At 42.5% G+C, this 19,372-nt stretch overlaps 4 annotated features.

The window, feature by feature from the left end:
* Positions 239-746: an enhancer, noted in NCBI's record as "NANOG-H3K4me1 hESC enhancer chr10:43521643-43522150 (GRCh37/hg19 assembly coordinates)". NCBI's record gives its function as "activates a minimal SCP1, AML or CMV promoter by ChIP-STARR-seq in naive H9 embryonic stem cells {active_cell/tissue: H9 hESC(naive)}" and the evidence as "EXISTENCE:reporter gene assay evidence [ECO:0000049][PMID:30033119]".
* Positions 747-1,255: an enhancer, noted in NCBI's record as "H3K4me1 hESC enhancer chr10:43521134-43521642 (GRCh37/hg19 assembly coordinates)". NCBI's record gives its function as "activates a minimal SCP1, AML or CMV promoter by ChIP-STARR-seq in naive H9 embryonic stem cells {active_cell/tissue: H9 hESC(naive)}" and the evidence as "EXISTENCE:reporter gene assay evidence [ECO:0000049][PMID:30033119]".
* Positions 13,163-14,157: an enhancer, noted in NCBI's record as "OCT4-NANOG-H3K27ac hESC enhancer chr10:43508232-43509226 (GRCh37/hg19 assembly coordinates)". NCBI's record gives its function as "activates a minimal SCP1, AML or CMV promoter by ChIP-STARR-seq in naive and primed H9 embryonic stem cells {active_cell/tissue: H9 hESC(naive and primed)}" and the evidence as "EXISTENCE:reporter gene assay evidence [ECO:0000049][PMID:30033119]".
* Positions 14,158-15,153: an enhancer, noted in NCBI's record as "OCT4-NANOG-H3K27ac hESC enhancer chr10:43507236-43508231 (GRCh37/hg19 assembly coordinates)". NCBI's record gives its function as "activates a minimal SCP1, AML or CMV promoter by ChIP-STARR-seq in naive and primed H9 embryonic stem cells {active_cell/tissue: H9 hESC(naive and primed)}" and the evidence as "EXISTENCE:reporter gene assay evidence [ECO:0000049][PMID:30033119]".

Below are 19,372 nucleotides of genomic sequence, written 5' to 3'. Positions count from 1 at the left end.
CAGCTGGCTTTCCTCCTTGCTCAGGAGGTGTGGAGGCCGCTGAGCGCTCTGAAGTGTAAAGTGGGAGGCGGAGGTCAATTGAAAATCGATAGTGCGGGAGGAGCAGGTTGGCTGCAGCGGCTCCCTCCTGCCTGGCAGACCCAGGCGGTGGGGGAGGGGTCGAGTAGCGCGGTCCAGAGCCCCTGCCCGCGGCGTCCCGGACCTGGATCCTGAGGTCCAGGGGCAAAAAAGCAGCCTTGTCCTGCGTCTGCCCCGGCAGCAGGTCTGACTCAGCCAGTCTCACCTGCTCGGCCTCCGCTTGCTCGTCAGCAAGCTGGGTCACCCTGAGGGCTCCGCGCACCTTGGGGATGGCAAGGTTAGAAGCTGCGCTGTCCTCAGCTGTATCTCTGCGCCCTCAGGGCGCCCTGCCAGTAGGTGCTCAGCAAATACTCAGTGGGTGAACAATGCGTTTATTCAGCAAATAGTTGTTGGGTGATGGTGCCAGGCCCCAAAACAGAACAACCGTGGTGACGGGGGAGGGGTTCCTTCCTCCTTCCAGTGACACAGGAACCAGCCAAGGTAGACAGTCAGAGGAGCAGGCATTGGGTTCAGTGCTGGGCTGCGGCTACGCTGGAATTCTTAACGGTTTCATGTCTGAACTTGTGCTAAATGAAGCCCTGGGCCCTCTGAGCAGAAGGGATGTGTGGATGAGTGTGAGCCCATCCCCATCAGGCCTCCCAAGGCCCCAGCACAGGGTTCCGGGTGGAGCTCAGCCAGCTGGTGAGCGTGGCCAACACGTGCTGCCCTGCCTGAGCACGGTGGGGCAGCGGGCTCCTAAGAAACACAGAGGAGCAGCCCTGGGCATCCTTGCCGGCTCTGTCACCTACCTGTACTGCACAAGCACCGACGCTGAGGATGACATGGAAGGAGAAGGAAAGACGGTGGCCTTCCTCCCTCCTGGTAGGCTGAAGTAGAGAGGGTTGGTACAATGCGCCTGCACCAGGAAGTGAAATTCAATCAGGTGAGTTAGTTCAGTGAAGTGTTTGCGCTTTTCTGAAAAGGACAACATATACATGCATGTACGAGTTACAGAAATTTTGGTGTTTCTGCATGAGTTAAATGCTCTTACACAGCAATTTATGTTTAAAATTGGCATTGAATGATATAAAGATGAATGGTAAATTTTATTTTACCATTAAAATTAAAATTTTAATTTTTTTCTATAATTTATAATTTCAACTTTTCTTGACTAGAATGCCATTAAATAGCAAACATAACCACCACAACACATCAAGAGAGACTGCAAAGGAAAGGGGAAGCTTTGCACTTCACTCCTTGAAACCACACATTGAACAAGCCTCTTCATTCTGCTGGGACTGCAGTGGGAGTGGTGGCAGGGCCACAGCAGGTGCCAGGGGCAGGTGGAGGAGGAGGGGTCAGAGGGGAGGCTGTGAGAAGCGTCGTCAGTGTGGTCTGGGCAGGATGGTGGCCGCCCACAGCTATGGTCACTGTAGGCAGGTTGGGGAGGGTGGAAGCGGACCATTCCAATATGCCATTTGGTGTCTTCCCAGGGTCAGCCTGGCAGAAAGGGAGAAAGCCCTTACCTGCTGTCAACCAGACCAACTTTTACTCATCAAGCTTCCATATAACGAAAGTTTTGAGGCCAAGAAGTGTGCAGGGGGTAACGCCTGGGTGGAGCAGTTCAGGACTGTTCCCCAGCCTTGCCAGCCTGCACCCAAGAGCTACGCAGAGAGTGGAGGTGCCCCTCCCCCAGGGTCTGCTGAGCTGTGGTTCTGGGAGATGATTTGATTTCCAGCTGTTGGCCCCAGTCCCGTCCATTAGCCCTGCTGTGCACCCCTAGTTGGAAGATGATGGCCCTGACCCGTCCAGTGTCTGGGGAGCTCTGCCTTCCACTTGAAAGTGAGGATGATTAAAGGCTAAGCTGGTGGTGATGGAAGAGGTTCCATTAGCTCGGAGGAAAACGGCTCTCAGCTTCCTGCCCTGTTCCCTTGCCCCAGCTTCCCGCCCTGTTCCCTTGCCCCAGGTCCTCCGCAAGGGCTCTGGGCAGGCTCCCGGGGGAGGCACCAATACCTGGAAATGTGTGAATGGGTCCAGGTGTGAGGGCCCCAAGGCATTGCCTTCAGGGTTTCCAGGGTCCCTCTGCAAACTTGAACATTGTGGGAAAGGAGCCCTGTCCCAGATTGGGACTAGAGAGCATCAAGCTGAAGAGCCAGGAAGTCAAACATAACCCCAGTTCCCAAGACTGGTCTTTCCAGCAGCAGCCATGCACTCACATTGTCCCTGAATAGGGTTGCCTGCACCCAGAGGGAAGACTCAGAGGGGCTGGGGGAGCCGTCCATCCCTCCATCCATCCATATCATCCATGTCAGGCCATCATCACAAAATATTACAGACTGGGTGGCTTAAACAATATACATTGAGTTTCTCACACTCAATCCAAGGTCAAGGTGCCAGCAGGGCTGGTTTCTGGTGAGGCCTCTCTTGCCAGCTTGTAGGAGGCTCCTCTCCTTGTGTCCTCACGGGGCCTTTCCTCTGTGCACACATGGAGAGAGAGCTCTCTAGTGTCTCTTCCTCTTCTTGTAAGGACACCAGTCCCATTGAATCAGGGCCCTACCCTTAGGACCTCCTTTAACCTTAATTGCCTTCCTAAAAGCTCTATCTCCAAATACAGCCACATTAGGTATTAGTGCTTCAGTATGAATTTGGGGGGACACAATTAAGTCCTTAACACCAACCATCCATCCATCATCCATCTGTCCATCTATTTTTGTATTTATCCATCTGTCCATCTGTGCATCTATTTTCCTTTTCTTCCATGTCTATTCATTCATCCATCCATCCATCCACCCATCCACCCATCCATCATCCATCCATTTATCCATTCATCCATTCATCCATCAATCCGTCTGTGATGGTTAATACTGAGTGTCAACTTGATTGGATTGAAGGATCCAAAGTATTGATCCTGGGTGTGTCTGTGAGGGTGTTGCCAAAGGAGATTAACATTTGGGTCAGTGGGCTGGGAAAGGCAGACCCACCCTTAATCTGGTTGGGTACCATCTGATCAGTTGCCAGCATGGCTAGAATATGAAAAGCTGCCAGAAAAGTGTGAAAAGAGGAGAAAGGTCTAGTCTCCCAGACTACATCTTTCTCCCATGCTGGATGCTTCCTGCCCTTGAACATCAGACTCCAATTTTTTTCAGTTTTGGGACTTGGACTGGCTCTCCTTACTCCTTAGCTTGCAGACAGCCTATTGTGGGACCTTGTGATCATGTGAGTTAATACTTAATAAACTCCCCTTTATATATATTAGTTCTGTCCCTCTAGAGAACCCTGACTAATACACCATCTATCCACCAATAATCCATCATCCATCCATTCATCCATTTATCCATCCATGCAATAAATATCAGTTGAGCCCCTGCCCTGTGCCAGCATTGTTCTAGGCACAAAGGATACTTCAGCAAGCCATTAATTCTATTTCAAGGATAAACAATAACTAAGCAAACAAACAAGAAAATGACAATACTGCTGTGCCACAATAAATAATGGATTCACATTGCCCCAGGACAGCACTACCCTGCCTGCACCATGATGTACATAAAATGATTCCTGAGAGGGCCCTGAGCTTCAGGGCCCACCTGGCAAGGGTTCCACTGGGCCCCATCCATCCCCACACTGGGATTCACATCCTGTCTACCTCCTGCTCAGGCTGGAGACCAGAAGTCCCTGGACTCTGTGCTTCCTCATGCACTTGCCGTGGCCTCAGCGAGTCCTGGGCAGGGGACATCATTTCATGCACCCAGTCTTCCCGCGTCTCTCCAGCCTGCCCCCTCCAACGCCTAGCCCATGTGGTCATCCCCACTTCAACCACAGCAAACCCCCCTAATGCCCCTTCTTTTCAACCTCCATTCAACATAGCAGCTGCCCACGTTTCTCAAGTGTGACCAGGGAACACAACTTTTGGGATTAAAACCTGCAACCAAAATAGAGCTGGAAGCTGCCACCAGACCCCATGAGGCCTGGCATGACCTGGCCCCTGGCGACCCTCCTCCACTTCTCTCCACCCCTTCTCACTCTCTAAGGCCCCTGAGGGGTTGCCATTCACTCTTGGGGTAGGTCAGCTCAGCCCCACCTCAGGGCCTGTGCTCTTGCTGCTGCTACTGCCAGGAACACTGTCCGCCTGATCCTAGCACAGCTCTCTCACCTCTTCATCTAGAGGAGCCAGCCCTGTCCCTCTCCTCTCCTCGGCCGGAAGAGCTGCCACCTGCTGTCTGGCTTCCCCCAGCCTCTGGGTCTTGGCAAACCAGAAACTCACCAGCGGCTGGGAAAATTGACTGTCCGGTGGGCTGAAGGTGGACAGAGCCTCGACTAAGGGAATAAGAATGTGTGGGCGATGTGAGAAAAACAGTTCCAGAAAATGCTCGGAAGCATTTAATTCGGGGGCAGTGGCAAGGTGGGGACAGACCGAGGCTGATGGCAGGAGGATGGGAATTGGGACCCAGTTGCGCCAAGGAGCCTGGATGCTGCATGACTTTTCCTGTCCTCATTCCTCATTGGGAGCCAGGGAGAAATTAGCTCCCATGCTTTCTCTCTCTGGCTCCCACTGACTCTGTCTGTCTGTCTATGTCTGTCTGTCTCTCTCACACACACAGATCCAAGACCTCCTGTGATACCAGTGGTGATTATGTGTAGCCAGTGAGTGGGAAGGAGGGCAGGACAGGACAGGGCAATGAGGGAACTGGAAACACAGAACGCAGGCTTCCTGTTCCGCGAGGCTGGTGGGGCTCTCTAAGTGTGTTTTCTTGTTAGATTCTCACAGGCACTCCCTAGATAATAACCACAGCAACTGCCATTTCCATCAACTGCATTTGGAATCTTCAAGGTTTCATCTCAGTTCTCCATGGAGCAAGGGGTGTGAGTGCAGCAGGGAGCACACAGGCCCTGAGGCAGTCTTCCCAGCCACTGCTGAATGCACTCCAGGCCCTGAGCTTTCCTCCCATGCGGTCTCACCTCCCGCCTCCCGAAAACTCCCCTCAGATAAATGCCCTCAGCTGATGGACACTGGGCAGTTTCCACTTTTGGGTGATTGTAAGCAGTGCTGCTGATGAACATCCATGGACAAGTGTTTATGTAGAAATATATTTCAGCTCTCTTAGATATGAATAGATACCTAGGGTGGGGCTTGGTGGCTCACACCTGTAATCCCAGAACTTAGGAAGGCTGAGGCAAGCAGATTATCTGAGGTCAGGGGTTCGAGACCAGCCTGACTAACATGGTGAAACCCTGTCTCTACTAAAAATACAAAAAGTAGCTGGGCGTGGTGGCATATGCCTGTAGTCCCAGCTACTTGGGAGGCTGAGGCAGGAGAATCGCTTGAACCTGGGAGGCGGAGGTTGCAGTTGCAGTGAGCTGAGATCATTCTACCGCACTCCAGCACTCCAGCACTTCAGCCTGGGTGACAGAGTAAGACTCCATCCCAAAAAAACAAACAAAAACGATACCTAGGATTGGAATTGGTGGATCACGTGGCACCTACGCTAACCTTCTGAGGAAATGCCATGCTCTTCTCCAAAGCAGTGGCCCCATCATCCATTCCCACCGTGAGAGGATTCGGATCCCTCCACACCTTTGCCAAGCCTTGTTGTTGGCTGCTTTTGATTCTAGCCATCTTCGTGAATGGGCAGCAGTATCTCCTATGCTTTAGCTTTGCATTTCCCTGGTGACAAATGATGGTGAGCATCTTTTCACATGCTTATCGTGTATATCTTCTTTGGAAAAATTTTGGAAAAATTTCTTTGAAAAAATGAGTCCTTTGCCCATTTCTAAATTGGATTATCTTTTTACTATTGAGTTTTGAGAGTTCTTTATCAGATATATGACTTGCAAATATTGTCCCCATCCTGTGGGGTTGTCTTTTCACTTTTTTGATGGTGTCCTTTGAACCCCCTGAAAATTTAATTTTGAGGAAATGAGAAAATCCAATTATCAATTATTTTTCCTTTTGTCACTTTTGCCTTAGATGTCATATTTAAGAAACCATTGCCTAATTCAACGCTGGGTGCAGTAACTCATGCCTGTAATCCCAGCACTTTGGGAGGCTGAGGCTGGTGGATGGCTTGAGGTCAGGAGTTTGAGACCAGCCTGGCCAAAATGGTGAAACCCCGTCTCTACTAAAAATACAAAAATTACCCGAGTGTGCTGGCACGGGCCTGTAATTTCAGCTACTCGGGACGGTAGGTGGAGGTTGCAGTGAGCCAAGATTGCGCCACTGCACTCCAGCCTGGGCAACAGAGAAAGACTTTATCAAAAAATAACAAAAAACAAAAAACAAAAAAACCAAAAAGCCACCAGTGCCTAATTCAAGATTATGAAGATTTACTCCCGTGTTTTTTAAAAAAGAGTTTTATAGGCCAGGTGCAGTGGCTCACTCCTATAATCCCAGCACTTTGGGGAGCCAAGGCAGGTGGATCACCTGAGGTCGGGAGTTCAAGACCAGCCTGACCAACATGGAGAAACCCTGTCTCTACTAAAAATACAAAAAAGATTAGCAGGGCGTAGTGGCACGTGTCTGTAATCCCAGCTACTCAGGAAGCTGAGGCTGGAGAATCACTTGTACCTGGGAGGCGGAGGTTGTGGTGAGCCGAGATCGTGTCATTGCACTCCAGCTGGGCAACAAGAATGAAACTCCATCTCAGAAAAAAAAAAAAAGAGTTTTGTAGTTTTAGCACTTACATTTAAGTTCGTGATCCATTTTGAGTTAATTTTTGTATATGGTTGATGTGAGGGAAAGATCTAAAATGTTACTTTTTTTTCCTCATTGAATCATCTTGGCACCCTTGTAGAAAACTTATTGACTATAAATGTAAGCACTTATTTCTGTGCTCTCAATTCTATTCTATTGAACTATTGACTTATCCTCATGCCAGTACCACAGTGTTTTGATTATTGTACCAAATATAACCAAATGTGGTAAGTTTTGAAATCAAGAAATACGAGTTCTCTAAGTTTGTTCTTTTTGTTCAAGATTGTTTTAGCTATTCTGAATCTCCTGTATTTTCATATGAATTTTAACATCAGATCAGCAAAAAAGTAAAAACAAACAAATTATAAAAATGAAAAACAAAAATCTGGTTTTATTTTTTAGGATATCAAATCTGTAGATTAATTTAGAGAGTATTGTCATCTTAGAAACATTAAATCTTCCAAGTCATAAATACGGGATGCCTTACTTTATTTAGATGCTCTCTAATTCCTTCCAGAAATGCTTTGTAGTTTTCAGTGAACAAGTCTTGCAAATTATTTGTTAAAATTTTAATACTATTGTAAATGGAATTTTTTCTTTTTCTTTTCTTTTTCCTTCCTTCCTTCCTTCCTTCCTTCCTTCCTTCCTTCCTTCCTTCCTTCCTACCTCCCTCCCTCCCTCCCCTCCCCTCCCCTCCCCTTCCTTCCTTCCTTTTCCTCCCTTTCCCTTTCCCTTTCTCTTTCCTTTATTTTGACAGAGTTTCACTCTGTTGCCCAGGCTGCAATGCAGTGGTGTGATCACAGCTCACTGTAGTCTTGATCTCCTGGGCTTAAGCGATGCTCCCATGTCAGCCTCCCGAATAGCTGGGACCACAGACATGCACCACCATGCCCGGCTTTTTTTTTTTTTTTTTTTTTTTTTTTGTAGAGAAGACGGAGTCTCCCTATGTTACCCAGGCTGGTGTTGAACTCGTGGGCTCAAGCGATCCTCCTGCTCTGGCCTCTCAAAGTGCTAGGATTGCAGGCACAAGCCACTGTGGCTGGCCTTTAATTTCATTTTCAAATTGTTCATTCAAAGTATTGAAATACTATGAATTTTTCTCTAATGATTTTGTATCCCACAACCTTGTTGAATGCATGTATTAGCTCTAATAATTTTCCTGTGGATTCCTTAGGATGTTCTGTATACAAGATTATGTCATCTGTAGAGATAGTTTTACTTCTGCCTTTCCAGTCTGCATGCCTTTTAATAGTTCCCTGGCTAGAACCTCCAGTATAGTGTTAAATAGAAGTGGTGAAAGCAGACATCTTTGTCTTATTCCTTATCTTAGTGGGAAAGTATTCAGTCTTTTACCACGTTATGGTGTTAGCTTTGGGTTTTTCACGGATGCCCTGTAGAAGGTTAAGGAAATTCTCTTCTATTTTAAGTTTGTTGAGTTTTTTTTTTTTTTTTAACAGAAAAAGGTGTTGTATTTTATCAGATGCTTTTTTTGTCTATTACAAAAAAAAATATTGTTTCACACTGATTATATTTGGATGTTATGCCAATCTTTTATTCCTGGATAAATCCACTTGCTTATGATATATAATCCTTTTTATACATTGCTTGATTTGGTTTGCTAGTATTTTTATGTCTATTTTATAAAACATATTGTCTCCAATGAACATTGAAGCAAAAATCCTCAATAAAATACTGGCAAACTGAATCCAGCAGCACATCAAAAAGCTTATCAACAACAATCAAGTCAGCTTCATCCCCGGGATTCAAGGCTAGTTCAATATATGCAAATCAATAAACATAATTCATCACATAAGCAGAACTAAAGATAAAAACCACATGGTTATCTGTGGGAAAGGGCTTCGATAAAATTCAACATCGCTTCATGTTAAAAACTCTCAATGAACTAGGTATTGATGGGACATACCTCAAAATAATAAGAGCCATTTATGACAAACCCACAGCCAGTATCATACTGAATGGGCAAAAGCTGGAAGCATTCCCTTGAAAACTGGCACAAGTCAAGGATGCCCTCTCTCACCATTTCCATTCAACACAGTATTGGAAGTTCTGGCCAGGGTAATCAGGCAAGATAAAGAAATAAAGGTATTCAAGTAGGAAGAGAGGAAGTCAAACTGGGTCTGTTTGCAGTTGACATGATCCCATATCTAGAAAATCCCATTGTCTCAGCCCAAAGCTTCTTAAGCTAAGTAGCTTCAGCAACAAAAAGTACCTTCAGCAAAATAAACATGCAAAAATAACAAGCATTCCTATATACCAACAATAAACAAGCAGAGTCAAATAGTGAATGAACTCACATTCACAATTGCTACAAAGAGAATAAAATACCTAGGAATACAGCTAACAAGGGAAGTGAAGGACCTCTTCAAGGAAAACTACAAACCACCCCTTAAGGAAATCAGAGAGGACACAAATGGAAAAGCATTCCATGCTCATGGATAGGAAGAATCAATATTGTTAAAATGGCCATAGTGCCCAAAATAATTTATAGATTCAATGCTATTCCCATTAAACTACCATTGACATTCTTCACAGAATTAGAAAAAAACTACTTTAAAATTCATATGGGACCAAAAAAGAGCCCGTATAGCCAAGACAATCCTAAGCAAAAAGAATGAACATGGAGGCATTATGCTACCCAACTTGAAACTATACTATAAGGCTACAGTAACCAAAAACAGCATGGTACTGGTACAAAAACAGACACATAGCCCAATGGAACAGAATAGAGACCTCAGAAATAAGACTGCACATCTACAACCATCTGATCCTTGATAAACCTGACAAAAACAAGCAATGGGAAAAGGATTCCCTATTTAATAAATGGTTCTGGGAAAACTGGCTGGCCATATGCAGAAAATTGAGACTGGAGCCCTTCTTTACACCTTATACAAAAATTAACTCAAGATGGCCTAAAGACTTAAATGTAAAACTCAAAACTATAAAAACCCTAGAAGAAAATCTAGGCCCATTCAAGACATAGGTATGAGCAAAGATTTCATGATGAAAATGTCAAAAGAAATTGCAACAAAAGCAAAAATTGACAAATGGGATCTAAAAGAAAGAGGAACTAACAGCAAAAGAAACTATCATCAGAATGAACAGACACCCTACAGAATGGGAGAAAATTTTTGCAATCTATCTATCTGACAAAGGTCTAATATCCAGAATCTACAAGGAACTTAAACAAATTTACAAGAAAAAATGAACACTCTCATTAAAAAGTGGGTGAAGGACATGAACAGACACTTCTCAAAAGAAGACATTTATTCAGCCAACAAATATATGAAAAAAAGCTCTACATCACTGATCATTACAGAAATGCAAATCAAAACCACAGTGGGATACCATCTCACACCAGTCAGAATGGTGATTATTAAAAAGTCAAGAAACAACAGATGCTGGCAAGGCTGTGGAGAAATAGGAATGCTTTTACACTGTTGGTGGGAATGTAAATTAGTTCAACCATTGTGGAAGATTCCTCAACGACCTAGAACCAGAAATACCATTTGACCCAGCAATCCTATTACTGGGTATATACCTAAAGGAATATAAGTAATAATTTAGGATAATATATAAATAATTCTTTATAATAATATAAAGATATATGCATGTTTATGTCTCTTTCATTTCTGATTTTAGTAATTTGAATCTTCTTTTTTCTTGGTCAGTCTAGCTAAAGGTTTGCAATTCTGATTATCTTTTAAATGAAACAATTTTTTGTTTTTGTACTGTATTAGTCTGTTTTCATGCTGCTGATAAAGACATACCCAAGACTGAGAAAAAAAGGAAGTTTAATTTGAGTTACAGTTCTCTATGGCTGGAGAGGTCTCATAGTCATGGCAGAGGGCAAAAGGCACTTCTTACACGGCGGCAGCAGGAAAGAGAATGCAGAGGAAGCAAAAGGGTAAACCCTGATAAAACCATCAGATCTCGTGAGACTTATTAACTATCACAAGAATAGCACAGGAAAGACCAGCCCCCGTTATTCAATTACCTCCCCCTGGGTCCCTCCCACAACATGTGGGAATTTTGGGAGATACAATTGAAGTTGAGATTTGAATGGAGACACAGCCAAACCATATCACATACTTTCTCATTTTCATTCATTGCAAAGTATTTGCTAATTTTTCTCTTGATTTGTTCTTTGACCCCTTGGTTGTTTTTAGAAGTGCATTGTTTATTTTCCACATATTTGTGAATTTTCCAGTTTTCCTTCTGTTATTAATTTCTAGTTCTATTGTGGTCAGAGAAGATACTTTATATGAGTTTAATCTTTAAAATTTTATTGAGATTTATTTTTTTATCTAATATATGATCTATCCTAGAGAATGTCCTATGTACACTTGAGAAGAATATGTATTCTGCTGTGGTACGGTGGAGTGTGCTATAGACGTTTGTTATGTCTAATGGTTTAGAGTGTTGTTCAAGTCTTTGGGTCCCCTGTTGGTCTTCTGTGTAGTTGTTCTATCCATTATTGAAAGTTGAGTATTTAAGTCTCCTGCTATTATGTTGAACTATTTCTTCCTCCTTTCTTTCACTTTTATCTTCATATATCTAGTAGCTCTGTTGTTAGATGGCAAGACATAACCACTTTGGTTATGTCTTTCTAATAGGTAGACTCTTTTATCATTATACAAGTATTTCTTTGTCTCTAGTAACAATTTTTGCCTTAAGGCCTATCTTGTATATTGGTGTAGCCACACCAGCTCTGTTTTGTTTACCGTATGCATGGCATATCCTTTCCGTCCTTTCATTTCAACCTATTTGTGTATTGGAATCTGAAGTATGTGTCTTGTTGAAGTATAGTTGAATCACACTCTTCAAATCCATTCTGCCAATCTCTGACTTTTGGTTGGAGTGTTTAATTCATTTAATGTAATTCCTGGGAAAAATGGATTTATGTCTGTTTTATATATATATATATATATATATATATATATATATATATATATATATGGTTATTTTCTTAGTGGGCCTCTGAGGGCTACAATAACATATTAATTAAAACAGTATAGTTGATATTAATATGAATTTTATTTCAATACTATACAAAGAACTTTGCTTCAATATAAATCTATTCCTTATCTCTTCTTTTTGCCATTGTCATGACATTACATCTTTATACATTTTAAACTCATCAACACAATTATTGCTTTGTGTAGTTGTCTTTTAAATCAGATAGGAGAAGAAAAGTGTCACAAAACAAATTGTCATTTTTATTTACATTGTAGATACCTTAATTGGTGACTTTTATTTCCTTATGTGAATCTAGTTATTGTCCGGTGTCCTTTCATTTCAGCTAAAGCACTCCCATTAGTATTTGTTTGAGCCATTATGTGAAAATCTGCTAATAATGAATTCTGCCAATTTTTGTTTATCCAGGAATGTCTTAATTTCTTGCTCTTTTTGAAAAACAGTTTGGCCAAATATAGAATTCTTAGTTAAAAGTCATTTTTTTTAGCACTTTGAATATGTCATTCCACTGCTTTCTGGCTCCCATGATATTTGATGAGAACTCAGCTATTAATCCTGTTGAGAATCCCTTGCACGTGATGAGTTGCTTGTCTCTTGCTACTTTCTTCTTTTTTCTGAGACAGGGTCTTGCTCTGTTGCCCAGGCTAGAGTGCGGTGGCATGATAATGGCTCACTGCAGCCTCAATCTCCTGGGCTTAAGCGATTCCCCCATATCAGCCTCCTGATAGCAGGGCTCACAGGCATGTACCACCACACCTGGCTAATTTTTGTAGAGACGGAGACTCATTATGTTGCCTAGGCTGGTCTCCAACTTCTGGGCTCAAGTAATCCTCCTGCCTCAGCCTCCCAAAGTGCTGAGATTATAGGCGTGAGCCACTGTGTCTAGCCTCTCTTGCTACTTTCAAGGCTCTTCTTGTCTTTGTCACTTTGACAATTTGATTATGAAGGATCTAGGTGTGGATCACTTTCAGTTTATCCTACTAGGAGTTCATTAAGCTTCTTAGATACATAGATTAATGTTTTCATAAAATTTGGCACATTTTCAGCCATTATTTCTCCATATATTCTCTCTGACCCCTTCTCTCTCCTATCCTCCTTAACTCACATTGTCTGTATGTTGGCACACTTGATGTTGTTCCACAGATTTCTGAGGCTTCTGTTCATTTATTTCATTAATTTTTTGTCCTATTCTACAAATGTATCATTTTATTTCATCTATTTTCCGGTTCACTGATGCTGTTTTATGTAAGTGAAAATCTTGTGTTGAGCCCCTCCAGTGATTTTTAATTTTAATTATGTACTTTTCAATTCTAGAATTTCTATTTGTTTTTATTGTAGTTTCTATGTTTTTATTTATATATCTACTTGGTGAGATGTCGTTGTCATACTTTCTTTTAATTATTTATACAAGATTTTCATTAGTTCTTTGCACATATTTACAATAGCTGATGTAAAGTCTTTGTCTAGTAAGTCCAACATCTCATCTGCTCTTCCTTAGGAACAGTTCTATTGACTGACTTTTTTCCTGTGTATGGGCCATACTTTCCTGTTTCTTTGCCTATCTCCTATGTTTTCTTGTTGAAAACTGAATATATTAAATAATATAATGTGGCGACATGGAAAATAAGATTCCCCTTCCTAACCAAGCTTTTTTGTTTGTTTATTGTTGTTGTTATTGTTGCTTCTGCTTGTTTGTTTGGTGGATTTCCTGGGTTAATTCTGTAAAGTCTGTATTCTTGGTTATGTGCAGCCACCGAAGTCTCTTCTTAGTTGGTATAGTGGTCAGCTAATGATTGGACAGAAATTTCCTTGAATGTCTTGGACCAATGAGTCTCCCAGTCTTTGCTGGGAACTCTGTGTATATGTTGGAGCACACTGTCAATGTTCAGGCCTGCAGTTTATACATCTGCCTTAACTTTCACTTCCTGCAAATGCAGAACCTCAAGTTAAGCTATAAGTGAGAGACTAGATCTTTATCAGGTTTTTTCCTGAGCATGTACACAGCCCTGCACTTGCATGTGGTGTTTAGATTTGTAGGAATATGTCATCACTTTTCTAAGCCCATTATGGATATCTCATTTTTCAGTTTTTCCTTTTGTTGATGAACATAAACTAACCTCTGTAAAATATTTAAAGAGGTTTATTCTGGGCTAATATGAGGGACCCTGGTCCAGGGAACAGTCTCAAGAGGTTCTGAGAAGTGTGCCTGAGGCAATCAGGTTTCATTTTGGTTTTATGCCTTTTAGGGATGCAGAAGTTACAGTAAAGACATAAATAAATACATGTAAAGTACCCATTGGTTCAGCCCGAAAAGCCGGGACATTTCAAAGTGAGGGCTTGCAAGTCCTAGGTGGGTTTTAAGGATTCTTTAGTTGACAATTGGTTGAGAGAGTTAAGCTGTTGTCTAAAGGCTTGAAATCAGAAAGGAATGCCTGAGTTAAGATAAGGAGGTTGTGAACAACAAGGTTTTTATTATGTAGATGAAGCCTCTTAGGTGGCAGCCCTCAGAGAGAATAGATAGTAAATGTTTCTTTTTAAACTTTTAAAGGTGTCAGACTCTCATTCTCTCCTAGATCTAGGAAAGGCCTAGAAAGGGAAGGCCTGGCTGCATTAATGGAGATTCTCTTCAGATGCAAATTTCCTCTACATCAATCTGCTGGCTTGTGGCAGCCATTTCAAAATATGTCAAAGAAATATATTTTGGGATAAAATATTTTTATTTCCTTCAGAGTCTGCTATCCGTCATGTGATACTATACCAAAGTCGGGTTGCAATTTGGTATCTTATTGCCACAAAGAGTCTGTTTGGTCAGTCTTATGATCTCAGTTTTAATGTTAATGCTGGTCACCTGTGCCTAAACTCCAAAAAGGCAGGAGTATAACGAGGCAAATCTAACCTCCCTTCCCGTCATGGCCTGGAATTTAGTTTTTCAGGTTTCTCTGTGTTCCCTTTGGCCAAGATGGGGTTCATTCAGTCAGTTGGGGGCTTAGGATTTTATCTTTGGTTTATACTTTAAAGGTTTTTAGTTAGCCTTTGTTAGCCACAGCTCTTATTGTTATCTCAGGCAGCTACAGTGTAGAAAAATTTCTCATTTTTTCAATAAACACCTTAGGTATAGAGCTGTTTATACACAGTGAGCTCTGAGTCAGGTCAAATAAAGGCAAGCCTTGAGCATGCAGCTTTTTAGGGAACTACCAGACAACACAAATAGTGATAATTCCTCTGGGATGGGGCATTTTGCGGAGATTAAAACCCACTCTACCCACCCAGTTAGTAGTAGGGTGAAATATTTAAGGTGTTGACAGAAAAAAAATTCCAACAACCTAGATTTCTATATCCAGTGAACTTATTGTTCAAGTGAAAGACAAAGACTTTCTCAGAAAAATAAAAACTAGGGGGCTTTATCACCAGCAGACCTGCTTTCTTAGTCCATTTCGGCTGCTGACAAAATACCATAGATTATGTAGTTTATAAACAACATAAACTTCTTTCTCCCAGTTTTGGAGGCTGTGAAGTCCAAAATCAAGTTGCCAGCAGAGTTGGTGTCAGGTGAAGAACCCTTTCCTGGTTCATAGATGGTGCCTTCTTGTGATGTCCTCACATGGTGGAAGGGACAGGGGGTCTCCCTCAGGCCTCTTTTATAGGGGGATTAATCCCATGTATGAGGGCTCCACTTTCATGACCTAATCACCCCAAAAGACCCCAATCCCAAATACCATCATTTCAGGGGTTAGGATTTCAACATATGAATTTGAGGGAGAAACAGACTGAAATAAAATATTTTCAAGACGTCTATCTGATAAATTGTCTGTATACAAAATATATATGCAAACCACAGCATTCCACCCTGGCCTTCCAAAATTCATGTCCTTCTTAGGTGTGAAATACATTAATCTCATCCCAACAGACCTGGAAGTCTTAACTCATTCTAGCATCAACTCGAAAGTCTCAAGACCAAAGTTTTATCTAAATGTCATCTAAATAGGATGTGGATGAGATTCAAGGTATGATTCATTTTAAGGCATTGTTCTCCAGCAATCCAAATTGAATATTTAAAATCAAACATGCTACTTGCTTCCAAAATACAATGGTGGGACAGTTACAGGACAGGCAGTCCCATCCCAAAAGGGAGAAATAAGAATAAAGAAAGGTATGAGAGGTCTCAACAAGTCCAAACTCTTAAGGCTCAAGAGAAATATTCCTTGACCTGATGCCACCCACTGGGGTGGAAGACAGCCTTCTGGACCTACTGGGATGGTGATCTCTCCTCCTCAGCTTTGTCTGCCCTCATGGCTTTGGACAGCCCCACCCCCATGGCTTTGCTGTGTACAGCCCATGCCACAGCTCTTATGGGTTGGAGTTGTGGACCTGTTGCTCTCCTGGGCCTGGAATTGCATGGTAGTGGCTCTACCAGTCTGAGGTCAAGCCCTCATTGCTCTCTGGATATTTTCCTAGTTGGGAGCTCTCTGCAGTGGCCCTGCCCCTGTGGTGGTTCTCTGCCTGGGCCCCAGTGCTCTCTAGGGCATCCTTTGAAATCCGGCTCTGCCCCCCACAGCTTTGCTTGGTGCAGTGCATGCTGCAATGGGGCCCACCAAAGCACACATGGGATGACTGGAGAGTGTGGTGATGGAGAGCAAAGAGCACAGCCTGCAGTGTGAGGCTGCTGGGTAGTGGTGGTCCCTCCTTTGAAGCCCTGTGATGGGAGGGGCAGCCCTGATGATCTCTGAAATGTCTTTGCGGGTATTCATCCATTGTCTTAGATTTTAGGTCCTGTTTTCTGTTTAGATGACTGATGAATCTCCCCATTATTTTGATGTATAGCATGAGGCTTCTGGTGAGATGCCTGATCCATAGTAATCTCTTTATCATAAGGTGTCTTGAACAGGCTTTTTTGTTATTTCCAATATGGATTGGCTGAGAATTTTCCAAATCTTTAAGTTCTGCTTCCCCTTTTGACAAACAATTTCATCTTTTAAATTATTTCTTCGTTTTGCATTTTACTTTAAGCAATTGAGAGGAACCAGCCTACCTTTTCACTACTTTGCTTAGTGATTTCCTCAGCCAAATACCCAGTTTCATTGCTTGCAAGTTCGACTTTCCACAAAACACGAGGGCATGAGCACAATTCAACCAGATTCTTTGCTACTTTATGATAAAATGGCCTCTCCTCCATTGTCCAACAATAACATGTTCCTCATTTCTGTCTGAAACTCATCAGAATGGCCTTTATTGTCCGTATTTCTACCAATATGCAGCTCATAACCACTTAGATATTCTCAGAAGATTGAGTCTGTCTCTGTAGCACTCCTCTTCTCCTGAGATTCCTCCTCAGAATTTCCGCTTATGAACCACTCACAGCAACGTAGGCTTTTTCTAGCATGTACCTTAAAATTCTTCCAGCCTCTACCCATTACCTGGCTCCAAAGCTGCATCCACATTTTAGGTATTTATTATGGCAGCCCCCTCCACTTCTCAGTACCAAGTCCTACCTTCATGACCTAATCACCTCCCAAAGGCCTATCAGTTCCTGATAGGAACTGGGCTGTGGACTGGTCCAAGGCCTGTTAGGAACTGGGCTGCACAGCAGGAGGTGAGCAGCGGGTGAGCAAGCATTACTGCCTGAACTCCACCTTCTATCAGGTCAGCGGTGGCATTAGATTCTTATAGGAGTTTGAAGCTTATTGTGAACTACAAATGCAAGGGATCTAGGTTGTGCACTCCTTATGAGAATCTAACTAAAGCCTGGTGATCTAAGGTGGAACAGTTTCATCCCCAAACCATCTCCCTCAACCCTTGGTCCATTGAAAAATTATCTTCCACAAAACCAGTTCCTGGTGCCAAAAAGGTTGGGTACTGCTGATCTAAACACACAATTAAAAGACAGAAATTTTCAGAGTGGATTAAAGAAGTAGAATGAACACCTAGCTTTTTGTTTTCTGTAAGAAACCCTTTAAATATATATATATATATATATATATTTTTTTTTTTTTTTTTTTGAGACAGAGTCTCACTCTGTTGCCCAGGCTGGAGGCTGGAGTGCAGTGGCGTGATCTCAGCTCACTGCAAACTCCTCCTCCCAGGTTCATGCCATTCTCCTGCCTCAGCCTCCTGAGTAGCTGGGACTACAGGCACCTGCCACCACGCCTCGCTAATTTTTTGTATTTTTAGTAGAGACAGGGTTTCACCATGTTAGCCAGGATGGTCTCGATCTCCTGACCTCGTGATCTGCCTCCCTCAGCCTCCCAAAGTGCTAGGATTACAGGTGTGAGCCACTGTGCCCGGCCCCCTTTAAATATTAAGACTCTGATGGGTTAAAAGCAAAGAAATAGAGAAAATATGCCATGCTAACACTAATTGAAAGAAAACTGGAGCAGTTATATTAATTTCAGACAAAGCAGATTTCAGAACAAGGAAACTTATGAGGGATAAATAAGAGCACTATGTAAAAATAATTGGCTCAATTCTCTAAGAAGACATAACAATATTAAACTTATATGCACCTAAATAAATATATGTGCAAAAATTAATAGAACTTAAAAATAGGCACATCCACCATTATAGTTGGAGACTTCAGCACCTGTCTATCAGTAGCTGATTGATGAAGCAGGTGTAAAATAAAGGCTAAAGTTAACCTGAATAGCAATTTCAATGAGCTTGATCTAATTGACATTTATAGAAGACTATGCAACAACAGCAAAATACAGGTTCTTCTCAAGCTTGTATGGAATATTCAACAAGATACATCAAATTCTGGGGCCATAAAACACACCTCAACAAATTTAAAAGAATAGATATTGTATAAAGTATGTTCTCAGACCACAGTTGAAATAAAGTAGAAATCAATAATGGAAAGATAGCTGGGAAATCCCCCAAGTATTTAATATGGAAATTAAACAAGACACTTCTAAATAACACATGAGCCAAAGATGAATTTTCTTTTTTCTTTTTTTTTTTTGAGATGGAGTCTCGCTCTGTCACCAGGCTGGAGTGCAGTGGCGCAATCTCGGTTCACTGCATCCTCCAACTCCTTGGTTCAATAGATTCTCCTGCCTCAGCCTCCTGAGTAGCTGGGATTACAGGCAGGTGCCACCACACCCAGCTAATTTTTGTATTATTAGTAGAGACGGGGTTTCACTATGTTGACCAGGATGATCTTGATCTCCTGACCTCGTGATCCACATACCTCGGCCTCCCAAAGTGCTGGGATTACAGGCATGAGCCACTGCACCCAGCCGAGTCAAAGAAGAATTTTCAAGAGAAATTTAAGCCAGGTGGGGTGGCATGCACCTGTAGTCCCAGTACTTTGGGAGGCTGAGACAGGAGGACTGCTTGAGCCCAGGAGGTCAAGGCTGCAGTGAGCTATGATCGCACCACTGTACTCCAGCCTGTGGAGTGTCAGAGCAAGACCCTGTCTAAAAAAATAAAATAAAATAAAATAAAATAAAATAAAATAATAGGAAAAAGAAATTTAAAAATATTTTGAACTAAAGGAAAATAAACTATAATTTATCACAATTTGTGGGATACAGTGAAAGGAGTGGTAAAGGGGAAATTTATGGCATTAAATGCATATATTAGAAATTCAAAGCTAGGCACGGTGGCTCACATATGTAATCTCAGCACTTTGGGAGG

Source organism: Homo sapiens, chromosome 10 (genome assembly GCF_000001405.40).
Source record: "Homo sapiens chromosome 10, GRCh38.p14 Primary Assembly".
Taxonomy (NCBI): Eukaryota; Metazoa; Chordata; class Mammalia; order Primates; family Hominidae; genus Homo; species Homo sapiens.
Note: the sequence above shows the minus strand (reverse complement) of the source record. Positions and strands in the feature narration are given on the sequence as shown.